This window comes from Homo sapiens, chromosome 4 (assembly GCF_000001405.40).
Source record: "Homo sapiens chromosome 4, GRCh38.p14 Primary Assembly".
In the NCBI taxonomy this organism is placed as follows: domain Eukaryota; kingdom Metazoa; phylum Chordata; class Mammalia; order Primates; family Hominidae; genus Homo; species Homo sapiens.
In genome coordinates, this window is record NC_000004.12 from 61,729,131 (window position 1) to 61,753,281 (window position 24,151).

The 24,151-nt window shown below is 37.0% G+C and overlaps 1 protein-coding gene across 59 annotated transcripts in view; it reads left to right on the forward strand.

The window, feature by feature from the left end:
* Positions 1-24,151, forward strand: part of ADGRL3 (adhesion G protein-coupled receptor L3) — an 878,010-nt gene that overhangs the window by 528,805 nt on the left and 325,054 nt on the right. For 51 of the 59 annotated variants that reach the window (NM_001387552.1, NM_001322402.3, NM_001387522.1 and 48 more), the window contains 2 exons: positions 1,492-1,506; positions 3,624-4,424. In NM_001387552.1, the coding sequence (NP_001374481.1) occupies positions 1,492-1,506; positions 3,624-4,424 (816 nt within the window). The remainder of the gene's footprint in view (positions 1-1,491; positions 1,507-3,623; positions 4,425-24,151) is intronic. The other 8 variants (NM_001387524.1, NM_001387546.1, NM_001371346.2 and 5 more) reach the window with 1 other exon arrangement.

The following is a 24,151-nucleotide window of genomic DNA, read 5'->3' on the forward strand; positions in this document are numbered from 1 at the left end:
TCATACTCCAAACCTCAGTATCACATTATATATCCATGTAACAAACCTGTACATGTACCCCCGATGCCAAAATAAAAGTTGAAACTATTTAAAACATAATAATATTTATTAATTAGCGAGATGAAGGATCTAAAATTTGATAACCTTATTTGCAACTTTCTAAGCAGAACTTTTGATATATGCCAGTTTTTCCTTGGTGAGATTGAGGAATATCACCACTCAATATCACTTTGCAACATGATATTGAGGCTTCAAAAAAGTCGTTGGAGAGAAACGAGTATGGTTTTGACAATAACTGGAGACACTCAAGCTTAGATCAAGTATAAAGATATCACCCAAATGTAATTATGCCAAACAGTATTTCTCACTTGTTTTTGAAACCTTACTAGCATTTTAAATTTATTTATTGTGCATATCTCAGTTCATCTCTTCCACTGAAATTGCTTTAGTTTTACATCACTTGAAATCTGTGATTTTTTAAAGTTTGTGTTGTGAACTCGTTCTTCCCTGACATTCTCCTCTTTTTTCTCATTGGTCCCTTTTTCCATGTTAGAATATAGCAAATTGTCTCTGTGAAACAAAATATTTATAAGATAAAGAGATGCTGTTTGATGAGTTTGTGAATACGTTAACAATTTTCCAAAATTTTTACTGACTTGTATTGGTCAGTACCTTAAAAATAATTATGGAATTTAATTTGAAATGTATAAACATAACATGTTTGAGGATCTCTATTTTTATAAGTGTATGTTGACTCTGTTAAGAATTTCAGAAAAGACCAGAGCCAGTGGCTCATTATTTTTCTAAACCTTCTGATAATGTATTTTTCTGAAGCACAGTATTTTTCCACAGTAATATCAAATACTAATGAGCGGGAGGGAGAAAACTTTCTTCAATAAGGATTCCAAATCAATTTATTTAGGGTAAGATCATTCAACATTAATGTGTAGTCTCATGAGGTGCATTTCTCATAAGACTGACAAGCTACAGGAAATCTTAGGCCTTAGGAAATGAGTTGCCGAGTAGTTCCTTCTGAACAAATTCTTTGAAATGCATAGAAAGCACAACTATTATGTGAAATAGTGGTATAAACTATAATATTTATAAGTGAGACTAGTCAAACTATTTGAAAGCTTTCTTTGTATAATTGCCGACCTGCCTTTCCAATGGAAATATTGGTGTTCTTATTATGAATATTGCATTTCCTGTGTCTGTAATTTGGAATGGTGTGTTTATTTAATCATAGTTTGATTAATTTTTGCCCTTTTTCTCAAAGTTTACATTTTAAAGCATATAATATGATTATTTTTAAATAACTGTATTAGAGAGATGGGTTTTATTAAAACATATAATGTTCAATAAAGCAAGTATGAGTGAAATAAATTATTTACTTTCAGTTTGGAAGAGGTGAATAAAAAGTGCTTGGCCAATACCGTACCATTAATCTATTCTCTTTTCTCCTTTCTCTCTTTACTTCTCTCTCTCCAATAGAAGTGGAACAAAAAGGTAATTAAATACCTTTCATAAATTATATACTATTTATAGGCTAAGTTATTTAACAGTTTAACATTTAGTTAAAATAATTTTGTTATTAATTCTTATCTATTTTATGAAAATTTATTTACTACTTCTGCTGCTCAACTTCACTTTAATCTGTATTACTGACAAGAGTCACTTTCTTTTATCTAAGAAGAGTTTAGTAGTATAAAATTTTCAACAGTGTATTTTATTCCCCTTTATTTTTGAGTAGTTAGAAATCCAACTCATGGTGATGAATAGTGGTTGCTTTAATTTGTTTTTATTTCTATGCTAGTTAATTTTTCATAGCTCTGGCATGGTTTCCCCATTCCATTAATTTTTAACTATTTTGGGGAAAAGGGAAAAAGTTTTTCGAACCACCTAAAGTAAGTTACTTTAGTCATCAAGGATGGTTATTTAGCATAAAGCTTATATACAATTTTGATAACAATGGATACTTATCCTTTATAATTATAGCAAGCATATGAAATTCTTACAATCAATATTATTATGGATTGTATATTGATGATGGCCCTCTATCCTTTCTATGGAAGATTTTGGTAGTTAGCCTGTTCCCAAACTTGTTATTTCTCTAAAAGTAAAACTTTGGGCATTTTAGTAATGTACTTTTCTTTTTGATAATCTCCAAAACCTACCTGAGTTTCATCTTAGATTGTTTTCCATTGCATCTATGCTTATAGTTACTGTTTAAAAGCTAATCACTAATGCCAAAATAATAATACTTTAATCATTAAAAAAGGGTCAATATCCAAATTACTGTGATTTTCTAATTTTTTCACCCAGTACACTTCTAATCATTCCAAACATAACAGTAGACTGCATGATTATTTTTCAGTGTGTTTGCTTTGCAAATATATTAGAGCAGTGTTTCCCATGGTAGGTTCAGCGGAATTCTATACTCCAAAGAAGCTCTATGATAAAGGTGCCATGATCCAATTAGTGTGTGAAATTTGCTCACCCTTCCCACTTCTGCCTTGGAGATTCACGAATGTACTTAAGCAATTAGAATCTCTGCCACAATTATATGTAATATAACATTTCTTACACACATGTGGCTAAGGATCCCTTTTTCCTTTCTGTGTAACATCTAGCTATGCCACTTGAAACATGTGATTCAAGGACCACCCTTTGGGAAACATTGCTTTATAGCCCCTTCACTACAGATGAATCAGCCAGGCTTTCTTACCACCATTCACATGATATGCTACTGAATCATACTAAAAATCAAGTGAATCAGATGATTCTTGGCCATTTTCATCCTGAAGTATGAGCAGCAAAATATTATAGCAAGTAATCTTGGGTTTTAATGCTCTTCTCATGTAACAGTAAAAGGTACATGTTTTTAAGTTCCAATACTACTGTATTTAACAGGACATTTTTAACTGATTAAAATCTAGATCTTGGGTTCTTTTCTGTAACCTTTCACCTTTTCTTCTTTCCTTATTCCTTCTTTCCTTTCTTTTTCTTCCTTTCTCTTTTCCTTCCAGTATCCATCCATCACTCATTTTTAATTGTGTGGGTTGCATGCTCTGTGTGTGTTGTAGCAACGTTGAGAGCTTTTTTGCTAAAAGATTCAGTGGCCTGTATTACAGGGCTTTTCTTTTTCCTTTATCAAAAAATTACTATGAGATATTCATCTGTTTCTTAATGATAACTACTGAATGGTGAATTTCATCAGAATGGAAACAATATTTTTGTTTCAAAATATGTTCTTCAATGAACTATTAAAAGTATTGTGTGTAAACATTTGTATTTCTTATATGTCTATAGAATACATAGACATATGTTACATCTGATATATGTTTCCAAAAATATTGTAGCATATTTACAAAGGTAACAATCACAGGAATGCACAGCTACTCACAAAAAGGCTAGATATTTTTCAGTTATCAAAATCAAAATGATTTTGAAATGAAGCCAAAATTAATGTGGAAGAATACTTTGTGTTCTTAAAAGAATGCAGCAAAATAAGTGATGGTGGGTATCTCTTGTTAGAGTTGCATTCCATTTGGTGAAAAATAAGACTATATAACAAAATATGAAATTAATATATTTATTTATTTTAACTGTTTCCCTTCCAACAGTTTTTCTTTGTCCTGGACTACTAAAAGGAGTATACCAGAGTGAACATTTGTTTGAGTCCGACCACCAATCTGGGGCGTGGTGCAAAGACCCTCTGCAGGCATCTGACAAGATTTATTATATGCCCTGGACTCCCTACAGAACTGATACCCTGACTGAGTATTCATCCAAGGATGACTTCATTGCTGGAAGACCAACTACAACCTACAAGCTCCCTCACAGGGTGGATGGCACAGGATTTGTAGTGTATGATGGAGCTTTGTTCTTCAACAAAGAGCGCACCAGGAACATAGTAAAGTTTGATTTGCGGACTAGGATAAAGAGTGGAGAGGCTATCATAGCAAATGCCAATTACCATGATACCTCCCCTTACCGATGGGGAGGCAAATCTGACATAGACCTGGCAGTAGATGAGAATGGGCTATGGGTAATCTATGCAACAGAACAAAACAATGGTAAAATTGTCATTAGTCAATTGAACCCTTACACCCTACGGATCGAAGGAACATGGGATACTGCATATGATAAAAGGTCAGCTTCCAATGCCTTTATGATTTGTGGAATTCTGTATGTGGTCAAATCTGTATATGAGGATGATGACAATGAGGCTACTGGAAATAAGATTGACTACATTTACAACACTGACCAAAGCAAGGATAGTTTGGTGGATGTACCCTTTCCTAATTCATACCAGTACATTGCAGCTGTGGATTACAACCCCAGGGACAACCTACTTTATGTATGGAATAACTATCACGTCGTGAAATATTCTTTGGATTTTGGACCTCTGGATAGTAGATCAGGTAAGTTCAACCTTTTGTGGTACTCTTTGGGGAAATATTTACTGTTTGTTCTCAGCAAGTTCATTTTATGTTTTTATTAAACTTTATTTGTGGTATTCTGGCCTGTGTACCTGAAAATTGTTCTTTGTCTTTGCATCTAAAGAAGGTTGCTGCTGATCACTTTCAGCTATAAAAATGTGTAACTACAAGAAGTAGACTCTCCTTTGTTCTGCTCAACTCCAGTCTTCAGCTCTTCTTCTTTGAAGGGTGTTTGTTATTTTCAACAGGTTAGTTCTTTGTGTAGTGAACTGCACAAAACCATTGCTAAAATAGAACAGCCCGTCTAAACAGCCTGTCTAATTAATTGTGAAATGCCCACAGAAGTGCTGTCTACTTGGAACTTGTCAAAGGGTTAACTTGATATTATGTTTCAGGAGCCCGCACCAATGTAGTCATCTCACAGAGTGCATCATATCTGACCTCCCATTTTGGGAAGGTTGTCAGTTTGAGTCTGTCTGTTCTGAATTAACTTAATTTGTATGTTGAGAAAAATGTTCATAACTGATAAGTACAGTAAAAATATACCTCAATTTGTATAAGACATTGCAATTTTTTATAGAGTTTTAATTGTAATTCTTTAAAAGTGCCCCTTTTCCATTGAAAACATACCATTTCCTTTTAATGTTGTTTAAAGACAATCATAAATACCTTTAATTTTTTTTTCATTTTTATGTACTCAACTGAACACCATTCTCTTAAAGGTTAAAATTTTTAGCTAGTGTGTTATGTTAGTCCATTCTCACACTGCTGTAAAGATATAAACAAGACTGGGTAATTTATAAAAGAAAGAGGTTTAATTGACTCACAGTTCCACATGGCTAAGGAAGCCTCAGGAAACTTACAATCATAGCAGAAGGTGAGAGAGAAGCAAAGGCATGTCTTACAAGGCAGCAGGCAAAAGAGAATGAACAAGTGAAAGGGGAAGAGTCCCTTATAAAGCCATCAGATTTCATGAGAACTTACTCACTATCACAAGAACAGCACAGGGGAGACTGCCCCCATGATCCAATCACCTCCCACCAGGTCCTGCCCTCCACATGTGGGGATATGGTGATTACAATTCAAGATGAGATTTGGGTAGGGACCCAGAGTCAAACCATATCAACTAGCCATAACAGTCTTCTCCAAGATAAAGTATAATGGAAAACTAAGATAGAGGTGTCTGAATTTTGATGGTAATATAGCAATTCGAAAATTAAATTATTTTTGCCGTTCAGCTGTAAAAATGTATAACTACAAGAAATTGACTCTCCTTTGTTTTGCTCAACTCCAATTTTTAGCCCTCCTTCTTTGAAGGGCATTTAACATTTTCAGCAGGTTAGTTCTTTATATAGTGAAGTGCACAAAACCTTTGCTAAAATAAAGTGCAATCCTGTTAATATTTCTTATTTTCTGCATTATGTTTCAAATTACTCTTTTATTAGCATGACATTCTTCTAACTTAGTCTAGTATATGCATATCTTTTTACTGAAGTAGATTCTAAGTTTTTTATGGCCAATGGCCTTGTCTTACTCTTTCTTTTGTTGTATTTTTCTCTTAACATTATTTGTCTTCTCTGACTCTAGTGTAATACATCGCATATATATAATAAGGCTCAATCACTCTTGTGGAATGAATGAATGAATGAATGGCTTTTCACTTCTTATTCAGATAGGATGACAAATTAGGTAGTATTTTCTCTAATCATGGAGAGGCTTCAGTCAGAGTGACAGCACTTGTTTCCACAATCAGCAATGCTGATATTACGTTGAATTGGCTTTTACGGAAAGAAAAGACTAAATATGCAATAGCAACAAAAGCAATTTCTCCTAAGTCCTCAACAAAATCTCCTAGACCAACTCTATTGTCTGACTCACCGCTGTACAGGTAAGGTTTTTTGTTTGTTTTTTTAACCCACTGCATTCTACAGTTTAAAACCTGATCAATAATCCATTATCTAGAATATTCTGAGAAGACACTCCTTTCATAGCTGTGATATTCTTAAACTAAAATTTATGTTTGGTTAGTGAAAACTTTGTTATGGATGGTTCTTAGCCTTTTTTGACTCTTAACTGGAACAAGAAATGATTTCTAATATCTCAAAGGAATAATAAATAATAACTTATTTTTTTAGGTAATCAGTGAATAAGAGGCAATAACATAATTCAAATTTCATTTATTTAAAAGAGCATACCTTATTTTTATTTAGAATAATAGATAGGTTAAAATTAATTACAATTTCAAGTTCTGATTTGATAAACTAAAGCAAGTTCTTAACTCAGTTTTATTAAGTTGTCTTTAACGAATAAGATGGTACCAAGTTCTTAACTCAGTTTTATTAAGTTGTCTTTAACGAATAAGATGGTACCATAATCCCATGTGTTTAAAAACTTGCCAAAAATATTTTTAGCATACATACAATTTTAGCATATAATAAACATATGAATATACTCATACACATATATGACTATATGCTTTTTGTACTATACATATATGTATAAATGTATAGTCATATGTGTATTAGTATACATATTCATATGGTTATTGTTATATGTTTATATATTCATATAGTCATGTATCCCCCTCCATATGTATGTACATATCCCCCTCCATATGTATGTATGTACATACATATGGGGGGGTAAGAGAATGAATCATTGTAATTGTGAACATAAGGAAAATTATACCTTCATTTAATTTTTAAAAATGTATTTGCTTGTCTGTTTATGGGAGTTAAAACATGGTCCATCTCACCCTCACGTACTAGTGCCGATATTTGTTAAAAGGATGCTATTGAAGGCTGGGCGTGGTGGCTCTTGCCTGTAATCCCAGCACTTTGGGAGGGCAAGGCGGGCATATCACTTGAGGTCAGGAGTTCAAAAACCTAGCCTGGCCAACATGGTGAAACTCCATCTCCACTAAAAATACAAAAAAATTAGTCTGGTGTGGTGGTGGGTGCCTGTAATCCTAGCTACTAGGGAGGTTGAGGCAGGAGAATCCCTTGAACCTGGGAGGCGGAGGTTGCAGCGAGCTGAGGTTGTGCCACTGCACGCCAGCCTGAGTGACAGAGCGAGACTCCATCTCAGAAAATAAATAAATAAATAAAAGGATGCTATTGAAGTAGCAAACATTAAGAAGTGATAGACTTCAGCTTTTAAAATGAATTCGTAACTTAAGTCAGGAGATTGAATTTCATTCCTTTTGAACAACGACAATTAAGACTTTGTCTGTTTTACAAATAGTGAAATTTCACCTGTTAAATTTGTCAGTATAATCACAAAAAACTATCAATTTTCATGCATGAATGCTCAAATTGAAAAGCTAGTGCTTTAGCATGGACTTATTGCAGTTTAGAGGTGGAAAGAATATGTATAGAAATAAATTGCATGCATGATATGTGCTGATAGGAAAATTTCAATTAACGTTAATAGAGGCTGTTTATCTTATTTCACACAAACAGTTTCAGCTGGGTATTTTTCTTTAGTAAATTACATTGACTTTTTTTTTTTTCCCCAAAGAAATTGCCTTTAGTGAATTCTTATTACCATTTTATTTTGGGTCCTATGTGTCTATGTACAGAAACCCTCAACTTATTACAAATATGTTAGAGTCAAAAACTAATCCTAAATCTGTAGACCCAAAGTGTATTTGTCGTTACCATCTGTTGGTAGCAGGCTGAGTCTTTTTGCCATGATTTTAACTGTATTCCAATCAATGAAAAATCATTCTTTTGAAGATTTTTATATAAAGGGGTATCTATGTTTTATGTCTCCTGTAAAAAGATCTGGTGTTGAAAAATAAAAGGCAAATATACTTCTCTTGGGTATATAAAGATCCTCTGGTGACACTTGGTGATGGTTACACATAGGTAGCATAGGCTTCTGAACATGAGCTTGGGAGTCAGAAGGACGTGGGTTTGAATTCTCTCTATCTCTTGTTTGACTATGGGCAGGTTGTTCAGTCTTCAGTCTCGATTTCCTCAGACTATAAAATGGAAAAAATAACTCCAACCTCAGAAGATTATTGTTATATTTTAATGAGAAAATATATGTAATAGGCACAATACAGTAACAACCTAATAGATTTGCAGTAACCCTACAAGGACCATTTTTATCCACATTTTCTAAATGAAGGCCCTTTTAAAGCACTGCAGCTCATATAACTTATTCCAAAATTGTCCAGATGTTAGCACCAGGCACCCTCTAGATACAAACATCACTTGTAGTTCGTATTACAAGTTAATCACGATGTATTTGTACTCTAAAAATTGTATCTACTCTTCAACCATGAAATCAAATGATTTGTTTTTATAAGGGTCTTTTTTTTTAGTCTTTTTATCATTCCATTTTTTCTTTTTTTTTAAATTACTTCCATAAGTTTTTGAGGACCAGGTGGTATTTGGTTACATGAGTAAGTTTTTTAGTGGTGATTTGTGAGATTTTGGTGCACCCATCACTCGAGCATTATACCTGAACCAAATTTGTAGTCTTTTATCCCTCATCCCCTCCCACCCTTTCCTCCAAGTCCCCAAAGTCCACTGTATCATTCTTATGCCTTTTGCATCCTCATAGCTTAGCTCCCACTTGTGAGAACATACGATGTTTTCCATTCCTGAGTTACTTCACTTAGAATAATAGTCTCCAAGTCCATCCATGTTGGTGTGAATGCCATTAATTCATTCCTTTTTATGCCTGGGTGGTATTCCATTCTATATATTTATATCACAGTTTTTTTATCCACTCGTTGATTGATGGGCATTTGAGCTAGTTCCATACTTTTGCAACTGCGAATTGTGCTGCTGTAAACATACGTGTGCAAGTACCTTTTGTGTGTAATGACCTCTTTTCCTCTGGGTAGCTATCCAGTAGTGGGATTGCAGGGTCAGATGGTAGTTCTACTTTTAGTTCTTTAAGGAATCTCTACACTGTTTTCCATAGTGGCTGTACTAGTTTACATTCTACAAGTGTCATTTTTAAAGTCTGAAATGGTAACCTTGGAGGAAAGACATGAAAAAAAAGCTTAACTCCTCAAAGTATTCTAAAAGTGGTTTCAGGAGTTATTAATTCCAGTTCCTTACTTTTCCTAACACTCATCCCCTGACTTTTAATTGTCACATTTTTTAAAATCCCTACCTTTTGTTGAGCTACCCAATTGTATGACATGTATGTTTGCATTATTTTTCAGAAGAAATGTCTTGAGAAATGGTACAATCTGTGAAACACTGTTTTCAACAATAGCTATGTTAAGAAATTAATTTCAATTGACTTTTTAAACTTGTATTTAAAATGCTTTCAGAGACTCTAAGTGAAGTTTCTCCTTGAAAAAAATCGTTAATTGGCCAGTTTTTCTTGGCAAAGTTTAGAAGAAGTTTAAAATTCATTTACTATGTTTCTCTAAAAACATTACTTTTGGAACACTATCCTGTTGTCACCTATTCTGCATGATATTAAATGTAAAATTGCCAGCATTTTTGTCATTTCTCAGCATGAAATTGGTGGAAACATAAATCAGAACTTATTTTGATACTGCTATTTAGCATTCATATAGCAAATATATTTGCAAATAATTTCTTAAAATTTTAAATAATATAGTTATATTTCACATATTAAGGAAAATACAAATGCAAAGCATCTCTAATTTTTTATAAAAAGTTTTTTTTGGAACTAAGTAGACTTTGATTCATATTGTAATAATCTTATTGATATTGTTTTAGTCAGTTTCTTCTACAAATTACTTTTTTTTTTTTGATTGGAGACAGAGTCTCACTGTGTTGCCCAGGCTGGAGTGCAGTGCCACACAGTCTCGGCTAACTACAACCTCCATTTCCTGGGTTCAAACGATTCTCGAGCCTCAGCCCCCTGAGTAGCTTGACCTCCCAAAGTGCTGGGATTTCAGGTGGGAGCCACTGAACCCAGCCCATCTACAAATTCATAAAATGTCTGATAAATACTTGGTGCTTTGTAAAGACTGTTGAATGATTAAATGGATAAATGGACTATGTTTTTTAAATCTGCTTTTTCAAGATACTAGGTGAATAGGAGTATAATTTCTAAATGTGATTTATTAAGATTACGTGTATGCTCCTCAGGTAGTCATCTTCACTGTCAGCACATGGATCTATAATCTAAGTTTTAGTAAGTCACTCCCCCCACCCTGTACCACCAGCTTCTCCCTTGCTTCACCCACATTGTTGTGAGCTTTGGTAATCTAAGGGGCAGTTTAGCGTGTGATAAACAGAAGTACATTAATACGTAATGTGTTTTCTTCCAGAAGAAATTAAAGTCAGTAATTTTACAGTATGGAAGAAAGTGGGCAACTGTTTAAAGAATTCTATATTAAGAACATAAATTGTTTAGTTGACAAATTGTAGGGATTTCTTCAACTTGAAGAAAATGGAAAATATATTATTTTTAGAAATGCATAATAGTTGTGTTCTCTTGAAAATACATTTTGTCTAAAGAACCAGTGATTCAGCTTTGGACACAGGTACCAAAATGATTTTAAGCATTAGCACTTGAGTACAAAGTACATGTGAAAGCACTTCCTCTGTTTTTTCTGGGCAGAGCACCAGATACAGAACTATCAAATCTAGAATTTTCTTCAAATATACTTTCACCTGAGCCTATTTCCTATCTTATAAAATACAATATAAAAGTATACCTTTATTATTACCTTTAACTGGCTATTTTTTGTAAGATGTACATTTAAAATGTTCAAATAATACTCAGCTGCTTTGCAGGTTATTTGAGTGATTCTCACATGAGCATCATAACTCTAAAACCATATGTTCTATCCTGATACAGCTGGTGGGAGGGGGTCAGATAGTTGCATCACTTACCTTTAGCTATGATTAGTGCCTGGTTTTGACTGACTTTCACCTTTAACTCTTCTCTCTCCCAAACCACCTTCTGCCAAATTGATTATTCATTAATAAAGAACAGTGAGAAGAGAGGTATTTTCTTTGACTCCTACAGTTTGTTTCTAAGCTGTCCATCAAACATTCTAATTTTCCTTGTTAAATATTCACGTGTTTTCCAGTATTTGCTACTGAAGGAGGATGGGAAAGTAGGTTCAAATTGGTAATAACAGGCATAGAAGCTGAGTTTCAAAAATTTCCTAAAATTAGTATGTCTAACAGATCTAAAAATCTACTGGTTGAGATTTAGTGAAAAACACATCCAGCAATAAGTACTAACAATAGAATGATAAAGAGATGTAGCTACTGTCTTGTTACCTGCTGTTCTGCTTCCCAAACACAATCCACATTTTCTTGAAAGCCGTTTGAGATTATGTAAATATAACCATTCTTATGTACGCTAAAGATGGTAGAATCTAAACCAACAAAAAGCCTACACATAACAGTTTAACAATGAGGATATGGTGCACCTTCTGTCCTTATAATATGCAAATTAAGTGCATTTGTATCTCCAGTAAAAGCTGTGGCTGTGTAGTGATGAATAAGAACTTTAAACACACATGACACCTCGTTAAAATGTAATTTTCACATCATATATCTGAGCCCTTTACTATGACAGCTGAGTAATGTGAGTGCTGGGCAGAGAATCCTGAACATTTTGAAACTGCCACGTGTTTAATAGGTAGCTGAATCTGCTTCCTGAATGGTTTAGTTAAATATGGTGCACCCTCGTCAGAAAATGGAGCCTAAAAGTAGTAGGATCTTAAATCAAACTTGTCCTCAGCCTAGGGTATGATTCCTTCACAGTTCCACTTGAGATACCACATTGTCTCTAAAGTTTAATTTACATCTATCTTAGTAGCTGAGTGAACTTTACAAAAAGGAAAAAATAGTCAGCAACTTGTTGCTAATTTCAGCCCTATCTGTATTTTTATGCATCAGCTGTTTTCTCTGTCTGCAGAGGAGCCCCTTCTTTTTCTTTCCAGTGCTGCTTCTTTGCTTGCAGTGACAGCTGCTGCCTGAAGGACATTGCTGCTGCTGATTTTTCAGGGAGCACAGCCAAAGCTTGTGAAATTTGCAAGAGCTATTCCATTGCCACTTCACAGCAGCTGAATTTTCTCTTACGCTTTTTTTTAAACCTTTCCTGTATTTTTATGTCTTCATAATTGAGGGTAAAACTTCCCAGAATGACATCTGCCTTTCAGGCTCTGAGTAAAAGAATCACAGTCCTGTACAAAGCAAAGCTGAACTTAACTATACAGCTGAACCTAGTGTTTGTTATTCATCTGACTAGGTGACCTTCCAAATGGATGAGAGAAGAGGCAAGGAATAAAAAGGTTCACAAACGCTCTAACGTTAGTTGTGTTTCTACAGAATGATGTCCCTGATAAATGTATAATTGTTAGACATGAAATCAAAATCATTTATATGTGTATTTCACAGTAATAAAGAAAGATGACTTATTTGTGAATAAGCTTCCCACTCACACCAGCTGTCCTTTCTGTAGCCATTTCACTGCTCATTAGCATGTCCACCAGAGGGCAGGCAGGTGGAACTGGAATAGTGTTGTTGCTCTTCATTGGCACGTCTTTTAAGGGTTGGTAACAGTGCCAAAAGTAATGATTATCTAGGGGTTCCACCGTAAGAATCCAATGCTTCTACCCATCTTAGCACAGATAAGTGAGAGTTGACTCTATTACGTAATAGCTGTTAGAATAGCCAAGTCAGACATATGCTTCACTTCTCTGTTTTTAACCTTTTATTATTATTATTCTTACTCTTCTTCTTCTTATTATTATTATTTTTTGAGATGGAGTCTCACTCTGTTGCCCAGGCTGGAGTGCACTGGAGCGATCTCGGCTCACTGCAAGCTCCGCCTCCCGGGTTCACACTATTCTCCTGCCTCAGCCTCCCGAGTAGCTGGGACTACAGGCGCCCGCCACCACGCCCGGCTAATTTTTTTTGTATTTTTAGTAGAGACGGGGCTTCACCATGTTAGACAGGATGGTCTCTATATCCTGACCTCATGATCCACCCATCTCGGCCTCCCAAAGTGCTGGGATTACAGGCGTGAGACACCGCACCCGGCCTGTTTTTAGCATTTTTAAGTAGTGTTCAAATACCTTGGACTAGGCTTGACAGGCAATAGTATGAGTTTTTAAGCACAAAGGTATTTCCTTCTTAATAACTACTTTACCACTAGAAAGCTAAATTATCGGATAATAATGATTAATGACAAAATAATTCAAGATACGTAAATGACAGGTAAAATCTACTATACTATATAATTTTACAAGATGAGGTATGTTAACTGATTTCCCTGAAAACAAATGGAGAACACTTCATCTTATTTACTTAAAAAGAATTCTGGCTGCTTTTCATTATACCTTTCAGTAGTACAAATCAATGGCCAAACTTTTTGCATCTATTTATACTAGCGAAGATACAAATCAAAATTAGCCAGTGCTTTCTATATAAAATGCCTTGTGACTGCAATATTTTAGCCTTAAATTTTTTTTTTTTTCAATAATGTTAGAAAAAACAATTCTGGCTGGGCTCGGTGGCTCATGCCTGTAATTCCAGCACTTTGGGAAGCCAAGGCAGGCGGATCACAAGGTTAGAAGATCTAGACCATCCTGGCTAACATGGCGAAACCCCGTCTCTATTAAAAATACGAAAAATTAGCTGGGAGTGGTGGTGGGTGCCTGTAGTCCTAGCTACTCAGGAAGCTGTGGCAGGAGAATGGTGTGAACCCAGGAGGCGGAGCTTGCAGTGAGCAGAGATCAGATCGTGCCACTGCACTCCAGCCTGGGTGACAGAGCAAGACTCCATCTCAAAAAAAAAAAAAAAAAAAAAAGAAAAGAGAAAACAATTCTGCCAAAAAACATACAGGAGTAAGTGAAGAGTTCGGTATTTGTTGACATTAAGATTTATCTGAAAATTATCTCTAATGCTAGTTATTTTTTTAAGTGAGAATGTCTTTGAAGAAACTTTTGCCTTTCAAAACAAGAAAATAGTACTATATTTAGAAACACACTACTCATTAAATGATGAAATAGATTATTTTTAAAACATGGCAAATCTTTCAATATCTACGATAATTTGGCTGTTAGCATTCATATTTAAATAGTAAGTGAAAGTTAAGACTTCTGTATTTTATGAGAAGCCCACTGAGGGCCATGGGTAGTTTGTGGTGAGGTAAAGTGGAATTGAAAGAATTAAGAAAAAGACAGGGGCTGGAGCCAAGATGGCCGAATAGGAACAGCTCCGCTCTACAGCTCCCAGCGTGAGTGACGCAGAAAACGGGTGATTTCTGCATTTCCATCTGAGGTACCGGGTTCATCTCACTAGGGAGTGCCAGACAGTGGGCGCAGGACAGTGGGTGCAGCACACCGTGTGCGAGCCGAAGCAGGGCGACGCATTGCCTCACTCGGGAAGTGCAAGGGGTCAGGGACTTCCCTTTCCTAGTCAAAGAAAGGGGTTACAGACAGCACCTGGAAAATCAGGTCACTCCCACCCCCATACTGAGCTTTTCCGATGGGCTTAAAAAACGGCACACCAGGAGATTATATCCCGCACCTGGCTCGGAGGGTCCTAGGCCCATGGAGTCTCGCTGATTGCTAGCACAACAGTCTGAGATCAAACTGCAAGGCAGCAGCGAGGCTGGGGGAGGGGCACCCACCATTGCCCAGGCTAGCTTAGGTAAACAAAGCAGCAGGGAAACTCGAACTGGGAGGAGCCCAACACAGCTCAAGGAGGCCTGCCTGCCTCTGTAGACTCCACCTCTGGGGGCAGGACACAGACAAACAAAAAGACAGCAGTAACCTCTGCATACTTAAGTGTCCCTGTTTAAGAGCTTTGAAGAGAGCAGTGGTTCACCCAGCACGCAGCTGGAGATCTGAGAACGGGCAGACTGCCTCCTCAAGTGGGTCCCTGACCCCTGACCCCCGAGCAGCCTAACTGGGAGGCACCCCCCAGTAGGGGCAGACTGACACCTCACACCGCCGGGTACTCCTCTGAGACAAAAATTCCAGAGGAGCTATCAGGCAGCAGCGTTTGTGCTTCACAAAAATCCGCTGTTCTGCAGCCACCGCTGCTGGTACCCAGGCAAACAGGGTCTGGAGTGGACTTCTAGAAAACTCCAACAGACCTGCAGCTGAGGGTCCTATCTGTTAGAAGGAAAACTAACAAACAGAAAGGACATCCACACCAAAAAACCATCTGTACATCACCATCATCAAAGACCAAAAGTAGATAAAACCACAAAGATGGGGAAAAAACAGAGCAGAAAAACTGGAAACTCTAAAAAGCAGAGCACCTCTCCCCCTCCAAAGGAATGCAGCTCCTCACCAGCAACGGAACAAAGCTGGACAGAGAATGACTTTGATGAGTTGAGAGAAGAAGCCTTCAGACGATCAAACTACTCCGAGCTACAGGAGGAAATTAAAACCAAAGGCAAAGAAGTTGAAAACTTTGAAAAAAATTTAGGCGAGTGTATAACTAGAATAACCAACACAGAGAAGTGCTTAAAGGAGCTGATGGAGCTGAGAACCAAGACTCGAGAACTATGTGAAGAATGCAGAAGCCTCAGGAGCCAATGCGATCAACTGGAATAAAGGGTATCAGTGATGGAAGATGAAATGAATGAACTGAAGCGAGAAGGGAAGTTTAGAGAAAAAAGAATAAAAAGAAACAAACTCCAAGAAAAATGGGACTATGTGAAAAGACCAAATCTACGTCTGATTGGTGTACCTGAAAGTGATGGGGAGAATGGAACCAAGTTGGAAAACACTCTGCAGGATATTATCCAGGAGAACTTCCCCAATCTAGCAAGGCAGGCCAACATTCAGACTCAGGAAATACAGAGAATGCCACAAAGATACTCCTCGAGAAGAGCAACTCCAAGACACATAATTGTCAGATTCACCAAAGTTGAAATGAAGGAAAAAATGTTAAGGGCAGCCAGAAAGAAAGGCAGGGTTACCCACAAAGGGAAGCCCATCAGACTAACAGCTGATCTCTCGGCAGAAACTCTACAAGCCAGAAGACAGTGGGGGCCAATATTCAACATTCTTAAAGAAAAGAATTTTCAACCCAGAATTTCATATCCAGCCAAACTAAGCTTCATAAGTGAAGGAGAAATAAAATACTTTACAAACAAGCAAATGCTGAGAGATTTTGTCACCACCAGGGCTTCCCTAAAAGAGCTCCTGAAGGAAGCACTAAACATGGAAAGGAACAACTGGTACCAGCCACTGCAAAATCATGCCAAATTGTAAAGACCATCGAGGCTAGGAATAAACTGCATCAACTCACGAGCAAAATAACCAGCTAACATCATAATGACAGGATCAAATTCACACATAACAATATTAACTTTAAATGTAAATGGACTAAATGCTCCCATTAAAAGACACAGACTGGCAAATTGGATAAAGAGTCAAGACCCATCAGTGTGCTGTATTCAGGAAACTCATCGCACATGCAGACACACAAAAGCTCAAAATAAAAGGATGGAGGAAGATCTACCAAACAAATGGAAAACAAAAAAAGGCAGGGGTTGCAATCCTAGTCTCTGATAAAACAGACTTTAAACCAACAAAGATCAAAGAGACAAAGAAGGCCATTAAATAATAGTAAAGAGATCAATTCAACAAGAAGAGCTAACTATCCTAAATATATATGCACCCAACACAGGAGCACCCAGACTCATAAAGCAAGTCCTGAGTGACCTACAAAGAGACTTATACTCCCACATATTAATAATGGGAGACTTTAACACCCCACTGTCAATATTAGACAGATCAACAAGACAGAAAGTTAAAAAGGATACCCAGGAATTGAAGTCAGCTCTGCACCAAGCGGACCTAATACCCATCTACAGAACTCTCCACCCCAAATCAACAGAATATACATTTTTTTCAGCACAAAACCACACCTATTCCAAAACTGACCACATAGTTGGAAGTAAAGCACTCCTCAGCAAATGTAAAAGAACAGAAATTATAACAAACTCTCTCTGAGACCACAGTGCAATCAAACTAGAACTCAGGATTAAGAAACTCACTCAAAACCACTCAACTACATGGAAACTGAACAACCTGCTCCTGAATGACTACTGGGTACATAACGAAATGAAGGCAGAAATAAAGATGTTCTTTGAAACCAACAAGAACAAAGAAACAACATACCAGAATCTCTGGGACATATTCAAAGCAGTGTGTAAAGGGAAATTTATAGCACTAAATGTCCACAAGAGAAAGCAGGAAAGATCCAAAATTGACACCCTAACATCACAATTAAAAGAACTAGAAAAGCAAGAGCAAACACATTCAAAAGCTAGCAGAAGGCAAGAAATAACTAAGATCAGAGCAGAACTGAAGGAAATAGAGACACAAAAAACCCTTCAAAAAATTAATGAATCCAGGAGCTGGTTTTTTGAAAGGATCAACAAAATTGATAGACTGCCAGCAAGACTAATAAAGAAGAAAAGAGAGAATGATCAAATAGATGCAATAAAAAATGATAAAGGGGATATCACTGCCGATCTCACAGAAATACAAACTACCATCAGAGAATACTGCAAACACCTCTATGCAAATAAACTAGAAAATGTAGAAGAAATGGATAAATTCCTCGACACATACACCCTTCCAAGACTAAACCAGGAAGAAGTTGAATCTCTGAATAGACCAATAACAGGCTCTGAAATTGTGGCAATAATCAATAGCTTACCAACCAAAAAGAGTCCAGGACCAGATGGATTCACAGCTGAATTCTACCAGAGGTACAAGGAGGAACTGGTACCATTCCTTCTGAAACTATTCCAATCAATAGAAAAAGAGGGAATCCTCCCTAACTCATTTTATGAGGCCAGCATCATCCTGAACCAAAGCCTGGCAGAGACACAACCAAAAAAGAGAATTTTAGACCAATATCTTTGATGAACATTGATGCAAAAATCCTCAATAAAATACTGGCAAACCAAATCCAGCGGCACATCAAAAAGCTTATCCACCATGATCAAGTGGGCTTCATCCCTGGGATGCAAGGCTGGTTCAATATATGCAAATCAATAAATGTAATCCAGCATATAAACAGAACCAAAGACAAAAACCACATGATTATCTCAATAGATGCAGAAAAGGCCTTTGACAAAATTCAACAACCCTTCATGCTAAAAACTCTCAATAAATTAGGTATTGATGGGACGTATCTCAAAATAATAAGAGCTATCTATGACAAACCCACAGCCAATATCATACTGAATGGGCAAAAACTGGAAGCATTCCCTTTGAAAACTGGCACAAGACAGGGATGCCCTCTCTCACCACTCCTACTCAACATAGTGTTGGAAGTTCTGGTCAGGGCAATCAAGCAGGAGAAGGAAATAAAGGGTATTCAATTAGGAAAAGAGGAAGTGAAATTGTCCCTGTTTGCAGATGACATGATTGTATATATAGGAAACCCCATTGTCTCAGCCCAAAATCTCCTTAAGCTGATAAGCAACTTCAGCAAAGTCTCAGGATACAAAATCAATGTACAAAAATCACAAGCATTCTTATACACCAATAACAGACAAACAGAGAGCCAAATCATGAGTGAACTCCCATTCACAATTGCTTCAAAGAGAATAAAATACCTAGGAATCCAACTTACAAGGGATGTGAAGGACCTCTTCAAGGAGAACTACAAACCACTGCTCAATGAAATAAAAGAGAATACAATCAAATGGAAGAACATTCCATGCTCATGGGTAGGAAGAATCAATATCATGAAAATGACCACACTGCCCAAGGTAATTTATAGATTCAATGCTATCCCCATCAAGCTACCAATGACTTTCTCCACAGAACTGGAAAAAAACTACTTTAAAGTTCATATGGAACCAAAAAAGAGCCTGCATTCCCAAGTCAATCCTAAGCCAAAAGAACAAAGCTGGAGGCATCACGCTACCTGACTTCAAACTATACTACAAGGCTACAGTAACCAAAACAGCATGGTACTGGTACCAAAACAGAGATATAGATCAATGGAACAGATCAGAGCCCTCAGAAATAACGCTGCATATCTACAACTATCTGATCTTTGACAAACCTCAGAAAAACAAGCAACGGGTAAAGGATTCCCTATTTAATAAATGGTGTTGGGAAAACTGGCTAGCCATATGTAGAAAGCTGAAACTGGATCACTTCCTTACACCTTATACAAAAATTAATTCAAGGTGGATTAAAGACTTAAATGTTAGACCTAAAATCATAAAAACCCTAGAAGAAAACCTAGGCATTACCATTCAGGACATAGGCATGGGCAAGGACTTCATGTCTAAAACACCAAAAGCAATGGCAACAAAAGCCAAAATTGACAAATGGGATCTAATTAAACTAAAGAGCTTCTGCACAGCAAAAGAAACTACCATCAGAGTGAACAGGCAACCTACAAAATGGGAGAAAATTTTCGCAACCTACTCATCTGACAAAGGGCTAATATCCAGAATCTACAATGAACTCAAACAAATTTACAAGAAAAAACAAACAACCCCATCAAAAAGTGGGCAAAGGACATGAACAGACACTTCTCAAAAGAAGACATTTATGCTGCCAAAAAACACATGAAAAAATGCTCACCATCACTGGCCCTCACAGAAATGCAAATCAAAACCGCAATGAGATACCATCTCACACCAGTTAGAATGGCAATCATTAAAAAGTCAGGAAACAACAGATGCTGGAGAGGATGTGGAGAAATAGGAACACTTTTACACTGTTGGTGGGACTGTAAACTAGTTCAACCATCGTGGAAGTCAGTGTGGCGATTCCTCAGGGATCTAGAACTAGAAATACCAATTGACCCAGGCATCCCATTACTGGGTATATACCCAAAGGACTATAAATCATGCTGCTGTAAAGACACATGCACACATATGTTTATTGTGGCACTATGCACAATAGCAAAGACTTGGAACCAACCAAATATCCAACAATGATAGACTGGATTAAGAAAATGTGGCACATATACACCGTGGAATACTATGCAACCATAAAAAATGATGAGTTCATGTCCTTTGTAGGGACATGGATGAAATTGGAAATCATCATTCTCAGTAAACTATCACAAGAACAAAAAACCAAACACTGCATATTCTCATTCATAGGTGGGAATTGAACAATGAGAACACATGGACACAGGAAGGAGAACATCACACTCTCGGGACTGTTGTAGGGTGGGGGGTGGAGGGAGGGATAGCTTTAGGAGATATACCTAATGCTAAATGACGAGTTAATGGGTGCAGTACACCAGCATGGCACATGTATACATATGTAACTAACCTGCACATTGTACACATGTACCCTAAAACTTAAAGTATAATAATAATAAAATAAAAATAAGAATAAAAATAAAGAAAAAGACAAAAATGAAAAATGGAATTCAGGCACACAGATCTGCTGTGAGATGTAGAAGCAGTAGTTGAAATTGGATTTAAGTCAGAAGATGAATGATTCATTGATTGATTCTTTTTTTATTCCTTTCTTTCCTTCAGACAGGTACTATGTCTTTAAGTGGAGCTGAACCGTGCCACTATTCTATGTTCTGTGGTTGTTACAAGAAAGAACAAGGCAGGCATTGGCCCTGTCTTCATGAACTTACAGTCTATTGAAAACAAATTGAGAAGAAAGAAAAAAGGGGATGGTTAAAAAAAAAAAAAAAAAAAAAAAAAGGCAGTATTCCCTACTATTTTTTAGGTGTTTGCTGGCCATTTACAAAGATTATCAGATGTAAGTCTATCAATAATCATGCAAAGGCAGCATCATACTGATTACCAGATGAAGAAATTGAGCATCAGGGAGTTTTAATAATTAAAATGTCACATACGTAGTCCAGAGCTACATTTAGAATCCTCGTCTGCCTGACTTTCTGCTTTGTCACATTGCCTCCATCAGGGATTTAAAAGAATACAGGTGCCACAACTGAAAAACAAGGTAAGGAAAAGCAGGATGGACATATATTAGAACTGAAGTCGGCCGGGCGCGGTGGCTCACGCCTGTAATCCCAGCACTTTGGGAGGCCGAGGCGGGCGGATCACGAGGTCAGGAGATCGAGACCATCCCGGCTAAAACGGTGAAACCCCGTCTCTACTAAAAATACAAAATTTAGCCGGGCGTAGTGGCGGGCGCCTGTAGTCCCAGCTACTTGGGAGGCTGAGGCAGGAGAATGGCGTGAACCCGGGAGGCGGAGCTTGCAGTGAGCCGAGATCCCGCCACTGCACTCCAGCCTGGGCGACAGAGCGAGACTCCGTCTCAAAAAAGAAAAAAAAAAAAAAAAGTCAAAGCAGATAAGCTAAAGGAGCAAATAAATGCAAGGCAACAAGGACATGTGAATCTTGAAGTGGAATCTGGGCAAGCAAACAGTAACCAGTGTTGTAGAGCAGGATTCCTCCGTAGCGGTCTGTGGCCTGTTAGGAGCAGGGCCATACAGCAGAAGTTGAGCCGCAGATGTTGAGCAGCAGGTGAGCGAGCATTACTGCCTGAGCTCCGCCTCCTGTCAGATCAACAGTGGCATTAGATTCTCATAGGAGTGAGAACCCTATAGTGAAGTGTATATGCAAGGGATCTAGATTATGTGCTCCTTAATGATAATCTAACTAATGCCTGATGATCTGAGATGAAACAGTTTCATCCCAAAACCTTCCCCTCAAATTCCTGAGTTAAGAATTTGCTTTAGTTTATCAAATCAGAGCCTGAAATGGTAATTAATTTTAACCTATTATTCTAAATGAAAATAAGGTATGACTTTTCAATAAATAAAATCTGAACTATGTTATTGCCCCTTATTCACTGGTTGACTAAAATCCATAATAAGTTATTATTATTTCGTTTGAGATTACATATTTAACCCTTAAAAACAAACACTATTAGGTACAGAGAAGGGAACTAAGGCTCAGAGATATAAAGTCTCCTGCCCAGAGGAACCCTTTTCGTAAGTGTAGATTTGGGCCCAATTCTGAATTACAAAGCTGAAATACTTTGTGCTTTCAGTAGAAAAAAGTATATAATGCAGACAAGCATACAGAAAATAGTGATATAGTGGTGTGTGGATTGCGGTATGTGTGTGCATTTAGACAAATTTGAAAAAACGATTTAATTATTGGAGGATTAGTAAGATTAGTTAGAAACTTTTGCAGAGATTCTGAACAATTTGAAAGACTAGAGATTTGGAGACTGAATATGTATTAGATTTAACTCTAGCATACATTATTTGCATGTTCTTAATTTTGATGTAAACTGGACATTCAGACGTATTGCTAACAACACTCTCATGCTTATATCTATGAGCAGGATTGACAAAATGGTGGAAATGGTGAAAAGTAGAATGAAGAAAGGAAAGGAGAAATAAAAGAGAAATACATTTTTTATTTGAAAATAAATGAACAAGTAATGGATGGGCTCACTTTCTTCTAAAGAAAGTGATGAAAGAACGGCATTTTCTTATTTTAAAAAGTTATTTCCCAGGATTGATTTAACTGACCTTGGGTAGTTAACAATATGATTAAGGACAAAGTGAGGAGTGCTTATATACTGCTGGTTGGAATATAAAATGTTATAACCACTTGGAGAGCAATTTGTCCATACTTACCTCGGGAAGAAAAGTATTTTGTTCCTGCTCTTATAGATTCTCAGCTTGGGCTCTGTAACCAAAAACAGATTAACAAGAATAAAGAATAGAAATTTTTGCTTTTATTTAATATAAGTTTTGTATAACATAGGCTTCCTAAGGAAATAAAGACCCCCAAAGTGATTAAACTTCAGTGCTTTTACAATAGGCTTGGAAAGCCTATTATATTGCCTATTACTAGCCTGGAAAGCCTATTATATTGCCTATTATTATATTGCCTAATAAGCATATTATTATGGAAAACCATGGAAAAATGTGATAGGACAAAGGGGTATGAGTTAAAAGCAGTAGACTGGAGAAATGTTGGCAAGTTCTGTTCATTCAGATTTCTCTGTGTTCCTTCATCCTCAGAGATAAGAATGCTCCTTTCCTCTGGGTATTTGGAGAGTACTTCTTACATGATGGTCTTATGTTCTGCTTCAGGGGACTGTCAGAGGTATTTTCCTGCACTAGTGGTTTCTCTTGAGGTTATAATATTCAGTATGCTGGCTGGGCACAGAGGCTCACAACCTGTAATGCCAGCACTTTGGGAGGCTGAGGTAGGTGGATTGCTTGAGCCCAGGAGTTCAAGTCCAGCCTGGACAACATGGTGAGACCTCGTTTCTACAAAAAAATGCAAAAATTACCAGAGCATGCTGGCATTCACCTGTAGTCCTAGCTACTCAGGAGACTGAGGTGGGAGGATCACGTGAGCCTGGGAGGTGGAGATTGCAGTGAGCCAAGATTGCTGTACTGCACTCCAGCCTGGGTGACTGAGCAAGATCCTGTATCAAAAATATATATGTATTCAGCATGCCAAGGTGCCATATTTGGGGGTATTGTGTACTGAACCTATTATTACCCCAACTGAAACTTCCCCCAGGAAGTTTTACAGTCCAAAAACTGAGTTGGTAGATTGTCCCATATCCCATTGAAATAGTCTGTCAGTCCTAGGAAGAGGATAGTTCAGTTAAATAATTGTATCTCATTTCGGGAGACACCATAAAGGTAGAAATAGGGAGCTCCCCTCCCCGAACTCCTCTAGATGGTATGAACAATCAAGCATTTAGTAAGGCACATTTCTGTGAAAAAAAAAAAAAAAAACAAAGATGAAAAAGATAACTGGTTAGAACAAACTGT